This window comes from Homo sapiens, chromosome 12 (genome assembly GCF_000001405.40).
Source record: "Homo sapiens chromosome 12, GRCh38.p14 Primary Assembly".
In the NCBI taxonomy this organism is placed as follows: domain Eukaryota; kingdom Metazoa; phylum Chordata; class Mammalia; order Primates; family Hominidae; genus Homo; species Homo sapiens.
This window is the reverse complement of record NC_000012.12, coordinates 51,384,139-51,398,300: the sequence shown is the minus strand read 5'-3', so window position 1 is coordinate 51,398,300 and position 14,162 is coordinate 51,384,139. Positions and strand designations below refer to the sequence as shown.

The 14,162-nt window shown below is 48.0% G+C and overlaps 2 protein-coding genes across 26 annotated transcripts in view, besides 8 other annotated features; one reads left to right on the top strand and one right to left on the bottom strand.

Annotated features, from left to right (window-relative positions):
• The window catches only part of SLC4A8 (solute carrier family 4 member 8), a 124,318-nt gene extending 117,463 nt beyond the window's left edge, over positions 1–6,855 (bottom strand). For all 5 annotated transcript variants that reach the window (NM_001405270.1, XM_011539011.2, NM_001258401.3 and 2 more), the window contains exon 1: positions 6,813–6,855. The gene's annotated coding sequence lies outside the window, so the exon portion shown is untranslated. The remainder of the gene's footprint in view (positions 1–6,812) is intronic.
• Positions 4,415–4,504: an enhancer, noted in NCBI's record as "active region_6381". NCBI's record gives its function as "activates an Ori minimal core promoter by ATAC-STARR-seq in GM12878 lymphoblastoid cells {active_cell/tissue: GM12878}" and the evidence as "EXISTENCE:reporter gene assay evidence [ECO:0000049][PMID:35858748]".
• Positions 6,323–6,862: a silencer, noted in NCBI's record as "silent region_4467". NCBI's record gives its function as "represses an Ori minimal core promoter by ATAC-STARR-seq in GM12878 lymphoblastoid cells {active_cell/tissue: GM12878}" and the evidence as "EXISTENCE:reporter gene assay evidence [ECO:0000049][PMID:35858748]".
• Positions 6,323–7,132: a biological region, named in NCBI's record as "H3K27ac hESC enhancer GRCh37_chr12:51784953-51785537".
• Positions 6,548–7,132: an enhancer, noted in NCBI's record as "H3K27ac hESC enhancer chr12:51784953-51785537 (GRCh37/hg19 assembly coordinates)". NCBI's record gives its function as "activates a minimal SCP1, AML or CMV promoter by ChIP-STARR-seq in naive and primed H9 embryonic stem cells {active_cell/tissue: H9 hESC(naive and primed)}" and the evidence as "EXISTENCE:reporter gene assay evidence [ECO:0000049][PMID:30033119]".
• GALNT6 (polypeptide N-acetylgalactosaminyltransferase 6) overlaps positions 6,628–14,162 on the top strand; it is a 40,422-nt gene continuing 32,887 nt past the window's right edge. For 4 of the 21 annotated variants that reach the window (XM_047428183.1, XM_024448813.2, XM_047428182.1 and 1 more), the window contains exons 1-3: positions 6,628–6,700; positions 7,106–7,219; positions 7,364–7,451. The gene's annotated coding sequence lies outside the window, so the exon portion shown is untranslated. Of the gene's footprint in view, positions 7,015–7,105; positions 7,220–7,363; positions 7,452–14,162 lie in introns of all 21 variants that reach the window. The other 17 variants (XM_011537822.3, XM_017018745.3, XM_024448816.2 and 14 more) reach the window with 6 other exon arrangements.
• Positions 7,133–7,718: an enhancer, noted in NCBI's record as "H3K27ac hESC enhancer chr12:51784367-51784952 (GRCh37/hg19 assembly coordinates)". NCBI's record gives its function as "activates a minimal SCP1, AML or CMV promoter by ChIP-STARR-seq in naive H9 embryonic stem cells {active_cell/tissue: H9 hESC(naive)}" and the evidence as "EXISTENCE:reporter gene assay evidence [ECO:0000049][PMID:30033119]".
• Positions 8,680–8,769: an enhancer, noted in NCBI's record as "active region_6380". NCBI's record gives its function as "activates an Ori minimal core promoter by ATAC-STARR-seq in GM12878 lymphoblastoid cells {active_cell/tissue: GM12878}" and the evidence as "EXISTENCE:reporter gene assay evidence [ECO:0000049][PMID:35858748]".
• Positions 9,795–10,294: an enhancer, noted in NCBI's record as "H3K27ac hESC enhancer chr12:51781791-51782290 (GRCh37/hg19 assembly coordinates)". NCBI's record gives its function as "activates a minimal SCP1, AML or CMV promoter by ChIP-STARR-seq in naive H9 embryonic stem cells {active_cell/tissue: H9 hESC(naive)}" and the evidence as "EXISTENCE:reporter gene assay evidence [ECO:0000049][PMID:30033119]".
• Positions 9,902–10,196: a silencer, noted in NCBI's record as "tiled region #14751; HepG2 Repressive non-DNase unmatched - State 10:DNaseD, and K562 Repressive DNase unmatched - State 5:Enh". NCBI's record gives its function as "represses a minimal TATA promoter and a strong SV40 promoter by Sharpr-MPRA in HepG2 and K562 cells {active_cell/tissue: HepG2 | K562}" and the evidence as "EXISTENCE:reporter gene assay evidence [ECO:0000049][PMID:27701403]".

Below are 14,162 nucleotides of genomic sequence, written 5' to 3'. Positions count from 1 at the left end.
TCAAGAGTCTCCTAAAATAGGTAATATAAAATGCCAAGGAATCATTTTAACAAGAGCTGTAAAGATTAGGAGAGAGAACACTAGAAAACTTTTCTGAGGATCATAAACTAGAAACTTGAATAAATGGAGAGACAGACTTGCAAAAAGTAGTGGCTAAGGGCTCAGACTGCAGTTACAGGGAACTGCTGTGCTTATAAAATTCTCACTTGTAAAAATAAGGATACTCGAGCAGAACGCAGTGGCTCACGGATTTAATCCTAGCACTTTGGGAGGCTGAGGTGGGTGGATCACTTGAGCTCAGGAGTTTGAGACCTCCTGGGTCTCACCTCAGCCTCCTCCCGAGTAGCTGGGACTATAGGCACACACAACCATGCCTGGCTAATTTTTGTACTTTTTATAGAGACAGGGGTCTCACTATGTTGCCCAGGCTGGTCTCAAACTCCTGGACACAAGCAATCCTCCCGTCTTAGCCTCCCAAAGTGCTAGGATTACAGGCATTATCCAACACTGCTAAGTTATAACACCATCAATTTAAGATACATACCAATTTCAGATATGTTAAAGATTTTTAAAAATGCACCTTAGAATTGATGAAATTTATATGTACATATAAATCATATATGCATAGAAAAAGAGCAGACTATATCATACCAAAATAGCAACATTGGTTATCTCTAGGTAACATAATTATGGATAACTTGTCTTCTTTTTTTGTGATTTTCTGTGCATCTGAAATTTTGCACATTGAAAATGTGATATTTGGATCATTAGGAAAAATAATATATTCCCCATCCCACCTGACTCTTTCAACCCTTCTCCCTGTCTCTTATTCTCCTCTCTGTTCTCTTTATGTTCTTTGTCCACGTCCCAATCCAATGCCATGCTAAGCCAAATTGGAGCTTGAGGCAAAAGGAAAAATACAAGCTCCTGGCTTTAAGGCAAGCAAACTCATTAGTCATATTTTCAAAACTAACTGTTTTGCTTATTTCATTTTGAATTGTAAGATTGCCACGTTTGACAGTTTCCCTTGACCAAGTGATGATCTTAAATAAATTATAATTAACTAAGGCTGAGACCGGGCGTGGTGGCTCACGCCTGTAATCCCAGCACTTTGGGAGGCCGAGGTGGGCGGATCACGAGGTCAGGAGTTCAAGACCAGCCTGGCCAATATGGTGAAACCCCGTCTCTACTAAAAATACAAAAATTAGCCGGGTGTGGTGGCACACACCTGTAATCCCAGCTACTCGGGAGGCTGAGGCACGAGAATCGCTTGAACCTGGAAGGTGGAGGTTGCAGTGAGCTGAGATCGTGCGACTGCATTCCAGCCTGGGCGACAGAATGAGACTCCGTCTCAAAAAAAAAAAAAAAAAAAAAATTAACTAAGGCTGAAGTAAAATCATAATAAATTCCATTTTGGAACAAATAAAATATTTAAAGTAATGCTGTGAGTTTTAATACACCTATGTTTCAAGTTTTAAATGTTTTTTCAACTACTTTAATGCTCTAGGAAAAAATAACCATTCAAAAAATACAGAAAAATATGTATGAGGGTATATATTTTTCTTTTTTCCTTAGGCTTCAATATGGCTTAGAAGGAAACTAGTCTTTTTTTTTTTTTTAAATAAAGATGGGGTCTCACTATGTTGCCCAGGCTGGTCTTAAACTCCTGCGCTCAAGTGATCCTCTTGCCTCAGCCTCCCAAAGTGCTGGGATTACAGACATGAGCCACCAGGCCCAGCTGATTCTTTATTTTGAATTTTTGATACTTTGTCCATCACTGATTTTTTGCATTAATTTTGATTTTTTTAAAATATTGCATTAAAGTATTATTTATCTTGGTTACTGAGTTTTTAGATGCCCCCATAAATTTTGCACTCAAGAGAAGTGCCCTCACTTGCCTTACCCTAGTCCTAGCCCTGCTCCTTCATAGTCATTTTTACATCAGGCTCCCCTGACAAACTATGGGTGTCTGGATGAGACAGACATGACTTATTATCCTTGTATCTCCACACCTGACCTAGCATAGAGGCTAACACATGGAGCACTTTAACAGCATTTTATTGAAGGGAGGAATGGAGGAAGGAAAGAAGAAAAACAGCTAATATTATAATGGCTAACATCCAAATTTCAACTGACTGCTTATTGTGTACCAGATGCTGGGTTAAGCACTTTGCTTATTTAATCTTACAACCCAATCATAAAAATAACATATCCATTTTACAGATGAGGAAATTGAGGCACACAGAAATGGGTGAATTGTAGCGCATGAGTGATTATGGCAGAACTAGGAGCAGCTCTGCTTGGGTTCCCTAAAATATTTCTCGCTTTAACTGTTTCTCTCCTGAGCATGGGAATGAGATGAGGAGTAAATGTGAATATGCAGGAAAGTAGAGCAGCAGATGTAATTTAGAAGACCCAACTCTCACACTTTCATGTGTTATCTCACTTGAGCTTCATTAACAACCCCAGGTATCATTAACTGCACTTCACAGATAAGAAACAAAGAGGTAGGGAGGGAGTGGGAGACTCCGTTGTTTCCCTCAGGGTAGAGGAGAGTGGGTGAGATGAGAGGTAGTGATAGGACAGAGGGAGGTTGACCAGCTGGCCTCCCTACTAACCTCCTTGGCAAGTTCACGGCATCCCTTGCACACTCCCCTAGCTAAGTGGAGCCAGCACCTCCCCCTGAAGGGCAGGTCTCCCTCACTCTGCCCCACCAGAGGTGGGTATCCCCTCACCAGGGACCGTGTGGAAGGAAGAGACTAGATAAAGGCCAGGGCTGGTGTCAACGGCCTCACAGAGCTGCCTTTGTCACACTTCCACTGTTCTGCTCCCCTCCAGGTTTCCTGCCTTATGGTGGGGAACACCCTTGATGCACACTCATGTGAAAAGTGAAACTCAGAACACCCAAAACCCGAATCTAAAACAGCCAAGAAATAAAAATAAGATCGTGAGAAAAAAAAAAAAGAAATTCATAGGACTTCCTGAGAAGGGGTCATCCTGGGTCTTTGCAGTTAACAGAATCTAGACATGTCCTGCAGAAGCGCTTATGGGAACTTTCAGTCAGGAATATGCACGGGACCTTGGACCCAAGGTTTCTGGAGATAGAGACAATGTCTAGAGAGGTGGGAAATGGAGCTTTCACTGTATACATTTTCATAGTGCCTGACTTATTACCATGTGCATATATAACTTTTTCATTTTTATTTTCCATTTCATTTACGTATAACTTTTTCATTTACAGAAACCCGTTTTTTTTTTATTTATTTTTTTCAGAGACATGGTCTTGCTCTGTTGCCCAGACTAGAATGTAGCATTGCAGTCACAGCTCGCCGCAGCCTCTAACTCCTAGGCTCAAGCAATCCTCCCACCTGAGCCTCCGAAGTAACTGGGACCACAGGCACATGCCAACACACCCAGCTAATTTTATTTTCATTTTTTCACTATCATATATGTTTTTTAAACTTTTAGGTTCAGGAGTACATGTCCAGGTTTGTTACATGGGTAAATTGCATGTTGCGAGGGTTTGGTGTACAGATGATTTTGTCATCCAGGTAATAAGCATAATACCCGCTAGGTAGTTTTTGATCTTCTCCCTCTTCCCACCCTCCACCCTCAAGTGGGCCCCCGTGCCTGTTGTATTTTTATTTTTTGTAGAGACAGGGTCTCGCTGTATCAGGCTGAACTCAAAGTCCCGGCTTCAAGTGATCTCCCACCTCAGCCTCCCAAAGTGCTGGGATTACAGGCATGAGCCACCACTCCCAGCCTAAAAAACCATTTTTCGAAAGTTGCCTGTACCAGCGGAGGCAGAAATTGCAGTCACTATTCTGTGGTGGCTCATCTGCAAACCTTCCTGGCTTGGTGGAGAGGAAGCCTGCACCGTCCTTCCTGTTAGGAGAGAACAGCTCAGTGCATGACACATTAGGGGTGGGTCACACATCCTGCGGACTCATGAACCTCCAAATTAGGCAGCTAATTATTCTGAGGATTCCAAGTCACATTTAAAATCAGCGTCAGCTGAAGTAAAATCAGATGAGTAATTTGCTTCCGGAATGCGAAACACACAACGCAGACTGCTGCTACTTCTTGGGAAGCTGGGCCCGGCCCTCTCAGGAGCACCAGGCTGGGGGTAATGGCCATGACCCTGTCCTGGGAAGGAATAGGGGCCATTCACCTCAGGTTAGGTTGGGTCCTGACTAAGGTGCAAGACTCACGTCAGGATCACACAACCCCTGAGGGTCAAAGGGCAGAGGTGGAGGAAGGACAGAGCAAAGACGGTAGGTCCGACCTGTACAGGGAGTGTTCAGCCCCAAGAAGAGAGACATGAGGGGCAGCATCCCACAATCTTCCACAGGAAGTGCCCTCATTCTGAGAAAGACAGCTGTCAAGTAAGGCACATGACAAGAATAGAAGCAGCTGGGGCAGTGAGGTGGAATCAGAGTCCAGAGGGTCTACAGATGGGCTAAGGGATGCTCAAGGAAGCTCTGTAGAAAGTCTCTCTAGGAGCTTAAAGCCCACGGCCTGGAATGTGAAAGGAAGGGAGTTGGTGGAAGGCTGCTTAGAGTTAGGGGAGTCGGGCATCATGCCAAGAGTGAGCAGATGAACCCCTTTCTACTCCTGGGAGAATGTCCATCCTTCACGTCACTCTGATCATGTGTAGCTGGGCAACTCTTCTTCTCCACACTCTGCTGGCCTTCTCTCCTGACTCCATCAAAGAACATCTCACCTTCTGAATAGATCAAACCTACCTTGGAGTCTCAGGTTAGAAAAAAAGATTACTTTCTTCATTCACCTGTTAACACCCGGCTGGCTTCCCTGCCTTTCCCAGTGCGTGTCAGAACTTCTTGCTAGGATCTACTCACTCATGCTCCTGCTCCCAGGTCTTAGGGTCTTAGAAATACAAATTCATGGCTGGACTCGGTGGCTCATGCCTCTAATCCCATCACTTTGCGAGGCCGAGGCAACAGGATGGCTTGAGCCCAGGAGTTTGAAACCAACCTGGGCAACATGGCGAAACTCCCTCTCTACAAAAAAAAGTTAGCTGGGCATGGTGGCATGCATCTGTGGAGGCTGAAGCAGGAGAACAGCTTGAGACCCGGAGGTCAAGGCTGCAGTGAGCCGTGATAGCTCCACTGCACTCCAGCCTGGGCAGTAGAGCAAGAAAAGAAAAGAAAGAGAGAAAGAAAGAGAAAAAGAAGGAAAGAAAGAGAAAGAAGGAAAGAGAGAGAGAGAAAGGAGAGACAGAGAGAGTAAGAAAGAAAGAAAAAAGAAAAAAGGAGGGAGGCGGGGCAGCAGAAAGAGGAAGAAAACAGAAAGAAAGAAAGACAAATTTATTTAAATATCAAAACAAAAGAGAAACTGAACTAGTGGTAGAAGTTTCTACCATAGAAAGTTTTCAAATTATTGGCTATTTGGAGTCATGCGCGCTCCTTCTCTGTTGCTAAGGCCCCAAAAGATTGCAGCACACGAGGCAGCGCCGGAGAGGACCACTGAGCAGCACGGGCCCTGGCGGGGTAATTCCGAACACCGGCTTAGGAGGCGGGTTTACCAGGATTCTCATTCCAGCCCTGCCACTAATTGTTCAGGGTTCTCAAGGTCGAGCATGCACAAAATCACCCGGAGGGCTTTTAAAACACAAGTCGCCGGGCCCAACCCGAGTTTCGGAATATTTAGGTCTGCGGTGGGGCCCATTTCTTTTCTTTTCTTTTCTTTTTTTCTTTTTTTTTTTTTTTGATACGGAATCTCGCTCTGTCGCCAGGCTGGAGTGCAGTGGCGTGATCTCGGCTCACTGCAACCTCCCCCTCCCGAGTTCAAGCGATTCTCCGGCCTCAGCCTCCCGAGTAGCTGGGATTACAGACGCCCGCCACTACGCCCAGCTAATTTCTTGTATTTTTAGTAGAGACGGGGTTTCACCATGTTGGCCAGGCTGGTCTCGAATTCCTAACCTTGTGATCCGCCCGCCTCGGCCTCCCAAAGTACTGGGATTACAGGCATGAACCACCGCGCCCGGCCAAAATTTCTAATAAGTTCTCAGGTGATTCTGACTGGCGCTGCTGGTGGGGGATCCCACTTTGAGAAACACCCTCTGCTGTGTGAGCAGCTGCCTCCCCGGTACATTCGGAATAATCATAGTAGGTTTAAAGTTTGCTGGGGCTGGGATTCACCTGATACCTGGCACTTGGAGCCCTTGACACAGTTCATGGCACACGGAATACGAGCTCTTGTTGGATGGAGCACAAATGAGAAGCAAACCTGGGGCAGGACCCCGGGGCCCATGGCCGCCCCGCCGCGTTTCCCCCTCCGGGGCAGGCCTCCGGGCTCCGAGCGCTCCAGGCTGGCGCGCAGCACATTCCGGTTCCATGCACCCGCCGCCCGCGGCTCTGCTAATGCCTGTCCTCTTTGGGGTGACTAGGACCCTCCAATCTTTTTCCGCGCTGAAAGCCTGGCCGCAAAGACCGCACCCCCGGGGCGGGCTGAGACGCAGAGAAGCCGGGGCGCCCCTCTGCCGGTCCGCCGGGAGTTCCCGGGCCCGCAGCAGGCTGAGGACACGGCGGGACCCGCTGCACCTGGCCAGGGAGGGGCGGGGCGGGCGCGTTAGTGCAGCTGGGGGAGGTCCCGCCCCGGTCCCACCCTCCCGGCCGTCCGGTGGGGAAACCCGGGAGCCACCCCGCGGCGCGGCTGCGGCTTTGCCTCGGCGCGACAGGTAAGCGGCAGAAGGAGCCCGCGACCCTCTCCCCGGGAGGGCCCCCCTGAGCTCCCCGACTGCTCGGACTTCCCTTCGGCGGATCTCGCTTCTGCCGAGTCCTCGCTCTCACCTCCTCCTCCGCCAGCCTTCGCCTCTTCCTCTTCCTCCTCACTACCCCCGACAGTAAAATGAAGGGGCTGGGCCAGGCTGGTCCCTCCTGCCTTCGCTCTCTGCTGGTCGCGGTGGCCTGTAGCTCCTCCCTCGGTAGGACCCCCCTCCACCTTGGCGCTTACGAGATGAATGAGGAGCCCAGACCTCTGGAACTTGGAGGGGTGAGAGGGGGACAAGCCAGAGCCAGGGCTCCACACCCTCTTCCCCTCACCCACCCATGCCCTGCATTCCTTCTGTGCCCCGTCTCCCCAGATCGGGCCACCCCATGTGCTCTGGTACGGCAACTCTTGCAGAGAGGTTTCCTCCTGCCCTGCCACGTTGCGCCTGAGCAGAAGGGGACAGCAAGGAGAAGCCTCGCTGGTGGAGGTCGGTCTGAGCCCTGCTTGGTTGAATTCCCTCCAGAGCCTGGGGGCTTTTGGGGGTGGGAAGGGATCTGCCTCCTGCTGTGGGGAAATGGAATCTGCTGGGTGTTCATGACTGTGACTGTCACCGACTTCCCTATTTCCTCAGTTGTTCAGATTCCCAGGCTGACAAAAAGGAGAAACAGCTTTTACTTGCATCCAGGGCCAATCATCGCAGACCCAGACGTCTGCAGAGGGTAGGATGGGGCTCTTCTGTGTATGGGGGTGGAGGGTGGTCAGTTTGCCCACAAAGCTTACAGCAGACCCCTTCTAGCAGCCGACAACCCATTGCAGCACTCTCAGAAAGGATGTTAACTCTGTGCTCTGAGCTCGCCCCCAGGCCCACACACACAATTTACAGGCACTGGGTGAGGTTCATAGTTCTGGACACACCAAAGAGCCTCGAGGACTTTTGCGCCTTCTACCAGAGATGTGTGTGCACCACACAGGCCCTATTCTCCGCTCCAGACAGATGAGCTGTCTCCCTTCCCATCAAAGGAAAGGTTAAGAAGGATGAGACAGGGAAATTCATGTGATGATGAAAACCAGGTCAGGTGAGGGGTTTGAAATATGCTTTGGTTCCGGCCACATGTGGTGGCTCATGCCTGTAATCCCAGCACTTTGGGAGGCTGAGGCTGGTGCATCACCTGAGATCAGGAGTTCGAGACCAGCCTGGCCAACATGGCAAAACCCCATCTCCACAAAAAATACAAAAAGTTAGCCGGGCATGGTGGCAGGCGCCTGTAATTCCAGCTACTTGGGAGGCTGAGGCAGGAGAATTGTTTGAACCTGGGAAGCAGAGGTTGCAGTGAGCTGAGATCGCACCATTGCATTCCAGCCTGGGCAATAAGAGCAAAACTCTGTCTCAAAAAAAAAAAAAAAAAAAAAAAGAAAGAAAGAAAGAAAGAAATATGCTTTGATTCCAATTGCCTAGCAGGAGCCAGTAGCATTGCAGGCATTTCCCTAGCTCCAGTTCCTTAATGGTGCCATGCACTTTAGGAACCCAGAGGTAATCAGAGAAAGTTGCTTCCAGGGGCACCAGGGCAGAGAACAGGACAAGACCCTCAAAAGAAAGAGGGAAGTGTGCAGGAGACTGGGCTGCTCAAGATGACCTCACCTCAGTAATGCTGCCCACAGTCCTACAGTGGGTGGAACAGCTGACTCCTACCTGTAGCAGCATGGAAGAACTCAGGGCAGAGAAGGGGAGGCCCTGATGTGTGTCAGGTGCCCTGTGAGGTCAGAAACATATTTGCCCAAGTTCAGCTGGAAGAAGTGGGGACAGGAAATATGAGCATGAACTTAGTCCATGCAACCATTGCCTCGAACAGACCTCAGGACCAGGAGGGGCAGCTAACCCTAGGGCTGAGGGCCTCTCAGTGCAGGGAGGCAGTGAGTATCATGAAGGCAGGCAGCTGACTCAGCCCTGTCACTAACTTCGATATATAATCTTAGCCAAAACACATAAACACTCCCTGGGTGGGGAGCAAATGAGAAGGTGTATATGAAGTGTTTTGGCAAAGCTCCAAGCACCAGTCAAATGCAAGACAATGTGATGTCATAGTTAAGAGAGTGGGCTTTGGAGATACATAGGCCTGAATGCAAATTCTGCCTCTGCCACATTTCTAGCTGTGTGACCTTGGTCAAGTTACTTGACCTCCCTGTGCTTCAGTTTCCTTCTGTGTAAAACAGAGAAGATAACTGTAACTTGATTTGATATGGTAAGCAGTAATATTTAAAATGGTGATGGTATTCTTCTTAACATTTTCTGGCTCCCACGGATGTGTTCCGACATCTCAGCCCTGGAAGGGATGCTGAAGACCAGGTTGGGTGTGTCCATGCCGTAGCTTGGGTGAACTCAGCTCTTTACACAGTCCTCTGCCCCTTTCTGGGAAAGCCCAAATGTTCATTCTCATTTGATAGGAACGAGAGTGAGGATTTGAATAAGCAGGAGGTTAAGTGCAGGGCAGTGCCTGTCTCTGTGTCGAGCTCAATGTTGTAATTGTGCTGTGTAAAAGGCCTGTGTGGTGAACAAGGGTGAGCTCACTCCAGGGAGGAGAAGGACTGTTAGAAGACTTTTGTGGCACCTGACAGCCCTGTGGGGTCAGCTTATTCTCTCGTACCCTGAACAACTTGGTCCTAAGGCCTAGGTAGAGATTTGAAGGAAGAAAGCAACCCAGTCCTCAACTCTGCACGTAATAGAGAATGAAGAACAGACTAGCAAAATAGCATTGCCATACATCTCAAGGCAGAGAGATGCGACAGGGATTGGAAGGCCAGGTAGATTGGTCAGGAAGAACATTCTGGAGACAGAAGTTTGGGGACCAAGACTCAAGGATTGGGAAGGAGAAGGAAATAGGATCTAGGTGGTCTACCGTCTAGGCCTGTTGGTTCTCCCTTCTCCATGATAGTTAGTGGGGAAATCCCACGTAAGGAAAGCACGGGTAGTAGAGAAACTTGGGAACAAATAACACCTAGAAACTGAGGCAGCAAGATGCACCTTAGTCTAGGAAGCCTTCTTGAAAGAGGGGAGTCTCTGGTAAGAATTTGAAAGAAAAGAAATATGGCTTGCTTAGCAAGAATATAAGGGAAAGGCTTTGAGGAAGAAAAGATAGCCAGTGAGTGCCAAGCATCTGGTTGGGCTTGAGGGTGAGCAGCAAACAGGAAGCAACCCGGCCAGCCCCTCTGTGTTTCTGCCACAGTCAAACAGTGCTCAAGGAATATGAATACGGCTGTCCTGATTGTGAAAGAGAGAGAGGGGCCCGAGGCAAAGGAGGCTGGCAGGCAGCTCCTGCTGATCCTCCAGATGCTAGTTGATAAAGGCCCAATTTCAAATGAAGGTTTTGAAAGCAGAAAGGACAGTGAGGAACCCGGAGGCAGGGAATGAATCAGCAGGACTTGGGAGCGGGTGTGGGGTGAACCTGAAATTGAGACAGGATTAAAAACGACCTGTCTGAGAGTGGGACAGGGGCTGGCTTGTTTCACGGACTTCAATGCTTCTGGCAGCAATGGGGAAATTGGGCAGGCTGGCTAGCAGAGGAGGCTGGGCACAGACCCTGAGCCCAGGGGATGGTACATTGAGTAGCCAGTGGCCCCGGGTGAAAGTTCTGCAGCCAAGAGCAGACTGGGGGATGAGGAGAAAAGGAAAAATTCAATTCTAGTCTCTCCCATTAAGCCCCCTTCCCAATTTGAAGACTGGCCCAAGAGGCCTTCGGGAATACCCCTCCTGTCTTCCACCCTTCTCATCACTTCCCTGTCCCTTCTCTGTCCTTTCCCCCAACTCTCCCCCTCAAGCCCAGTCTCGTTGTCACCAAGGCTTCTAGGTGATTAGAGAATCCCACCTCATCTCCACCTGGAACCCTCCCTCCACTTCTGCACTCCTAGGGATAAACCGTTGCACACCCCTGCCCCACCTGGAAGGGCCTACAGGGTCTCCAGTGAAAAACCTGTGAACTGTTGAACCTCCTGTTTGGTGGCATATTATTTTGATTTTTGGTGACTTTTTCTTGGAATAAGTCAACAAATATTAACCAAGTGCCTACCACATGCCAAGCGCTGCTCTAGGTATACAGTGGTGAGCAAAGTTGGGTTGAGTTTTTCAATAGAAAATCCATGTTTGGGTAATTTAAGCTTAAAATATCATGCAAACAGGCTGGATGCATTGGCTCACACCTGTAATCCTAGTACTTTGGGAGGCCGAGGCAGACAGATCACTTGAGGTCAGGAGTTCAAGACTAGCCTGGCCAACATGGCGAAACACTGTCTCTACTAAAAAAATACAAAAATTAGCCGGACGTGGTGGCGGGCGCCTGTAATCCCAGCTACCCGGGAGGCTGAGGGATGAGAATCGCTTGAACCCAGGAGTCGGAGGTTGCAGTGAGCCGAGATCCCGCCACTGCACTCCAGTATGGGCAACAGAATGAGACTCCATCTCAAAAAAAAAAAAATTATGCAAACATAAAATGAACCTTGATATGTTGGGGGAACTTGACAGACTAGCTACAGAAATAATTTTCAGCGTATCTTCCTGGGAAAATAAGCCACAGTATTGCAGCTTGAGTCTTGGAGAAAAGCTGAAGTGTCTTGAAGGTGTAATTACGGGGAAAAATAAAAACCTCCCACATTCTGTGATCAAAAGGGTCAGGGGTGGGAGGAGGGCTTTGGAGAAGATAATTTGCTCTTCTGTTCACAGTATGAGTACAGAGGACTTGAGATGAGTGCTGTGTTTGATGGAGAGAAAGTGCTTATGAGGAAGAAAGGACGGTCATTTGGCCAAACAGCCTCTCAGCCCCATTTCCCCCAACAGTAGTGTGAAATTAACCTGCCCCCTCCCCAATATGATGTCTAGCTCCACACACCTGTGCCCGTGGTAAGAGTGGTGACAGTTATCACTTTCCAAAGAAACTTGTAATTGAGCCCTCCTCTGAGTAACTTGAGCAAATATCGCTGTGGTAAGGACTGCTTGCTTCCTGCTGCCACGTCTAAGGAGGTGACCAGCTCACCTGATAAATAGAAAGAAACATTGTTACAAAGAGGCCACCTGGAAAGCTAGGGCATGTTCTGGATGGCTGACTCTGACATTCACAAAAGCTAAGGCTGCCTGGGACTTCCAGTCTCCACATCTTTAAAGCATTTGTATCCTTGAGTGGGAGGAAGGCAAATGCCAGGAAGGGGATCAAAGGGTGGAGTCGGGGAGGCTCAGGGAGGACAGGCCTGGTCCCCAAATTCCCTACTCAACCTCCACGGGTATGAGTGTGGTAAACAGAGTAGTGGTCTAGGAGTTGAGAGATCGGGTTCTACTCCTGGGAGCCACTAGCTGTGTGTTGCTAGAGAAGTCACCTAACCATTCTGGCCTCGCCGTTGATAAAATGAGGGTGTTAGACCCACAGACAGACCTAGTCAAAACAGCAAGCTAATGTGTAATGGCAGAATATCCTGTAAGTCAAGTATTTCTTGCAGTAAGTTCATTCAGAACATCATTTAGTGAAGCCAGTGCTCCACATTTAACCCTTCCAACCTCATCTCATTTAACAAGAGTTTGTGGAACTAGCCAGGCCTGATGGCACGCACCTCTGTATTCCCAGCTACTCAGGAGGCTGAGATAGGAGGATTGTTTGAGCCTGGGAGGTCGAGGCTGCAGAAAGCTGTGTTCATGCCACTACACTTCAGCCTGGGTGACAGAGTGAGACCCTGTCTCCAAGAGAAAAAAAAAAAGTTTATGGAACACCTGCTATATGTAAAACTTGTGCTAGACTTTGTAGGTGATAAAAAGCTGGAAATGGCATGGCCTCTCTGGTCCAGGAGTCCATAAACACAGGGTGGGCTGTGATGAGACTGGAGTACAAATAAAAATCGGGTGCTAAGGGGGCAAAGCAGGGAAGAGATGAATTCTGCTGGGAGATCTGAGAAGGCTTTTTGGAGGGGGGCTAGAATATAAACTGTGGGGTTTGGACTGTGTCACTGGCTTTCAAACTTCTATGACTTGACCAAAGTGAGAAATATACTTTATAGCGAGACCCGGTACCTGTGTATATGTGACAGGGCATCCCAAAAATCTTAGGGCAGTTTTATAATTTAATCACATTACAAGCATAAATTCTGCAAACCATAAAAACTATCATTTGAAAATGGAATCATTTAAACTTCTTTTGTCTTTAGTTGTATGAATTTTGAATAACAAATTTATCATTTTAATTTTGTATCAGGCAGTGTGTATCTTTAATAGACTGAAACAAACATTAAAATAAAAGTTTACTTTTCAGGCTGGACATGATGGCTCACACCTGTAATCCCAGCACTTTGGGAGGTCAAGGCAGGAGGATTGCTTCGGCCTAGGAGTTGAAGACCAGCCTGGGCAGCATAGTGAGACCCCCATCTCTACCAAAAAATAAAAATTAGCCGGTCTTGATGACACACACCTATGGTCCCAGCTACTCCAGAGGCTGAGGTAGGAGGATCCTTTGAGCCCAGGAGGTCAAGGCTGCAGTGAGCTGAGATTGCACCACTGCACTCCAGCTTAAGGAACAGAATGAGACCCTGTCTCCAAAAAAAAAGAAAGAAAGAAAAAACGAATACTTGCCTGTGTTACATGTGATACATGATGCACTTTGATATTTTCTTTTCATTCTATTCTGGGTTTTTAAAATTTATTTATTTTTATTTTTTGAGACAGGGTCTCGCTCTATTGCCTAGGTTGTAGTGCAGTGGCATGATCATAACTAACTACAGCCTCAACCTCCTGGGCTCAAGCAATCCTCCAGCATCAGCCTCTCAAGTAGCTGAGATTACAGGCCTATGCCACCACACCCAGCTAACTGGTCTCTTTTTGCTAATTGGTCTTTTTTTTTTTTTTTTTTTTGAGACAGAGTCTTGCTCTGTCACCCAGGCTGGAGTACGGTGGTGCTATTTCTGCTTACTGCAACCTCCAGCTCCTAGGTTCAATCAACTCTCCTGCCTCTGTCTCCTGAGTAGTTGGGATTACAGGCACATGCCACCATGCCTGGCTAATTTTTGTATTTTTAGTAGAGAAGGGGTTTCACCATGTTGGCCAGGTTGGTCTTGAACTCCTGGCCTAAAGTGATCTGCCCACCATGGCCTCCCAAAGTGCTGGGATTTCAGGTGTGAGCCACTGTGCCTGGTCCTAACTGGTCTTTTAAAGAAATTTTTGAATGCTAATTTGCAACACTCTGAATTTATTTTATAATATCACAGTGGATTGTAATCAGCAGTTTGATACAAGCTGGGCTGGGTAAAGCCTCAGTTCCTTACACCAGTGAGAGAAGGTAAGTTTGTGTTCTGGCCGGTGGGGCCAGGGAAGCAAATCCCATTTGTTCAATCTAGGCAGGCTTTTCAGAGAGGATTTCTGGCATCATCTCGGGATCAAAGCCAAGGATGGTCCAAAGAGTTGCAGG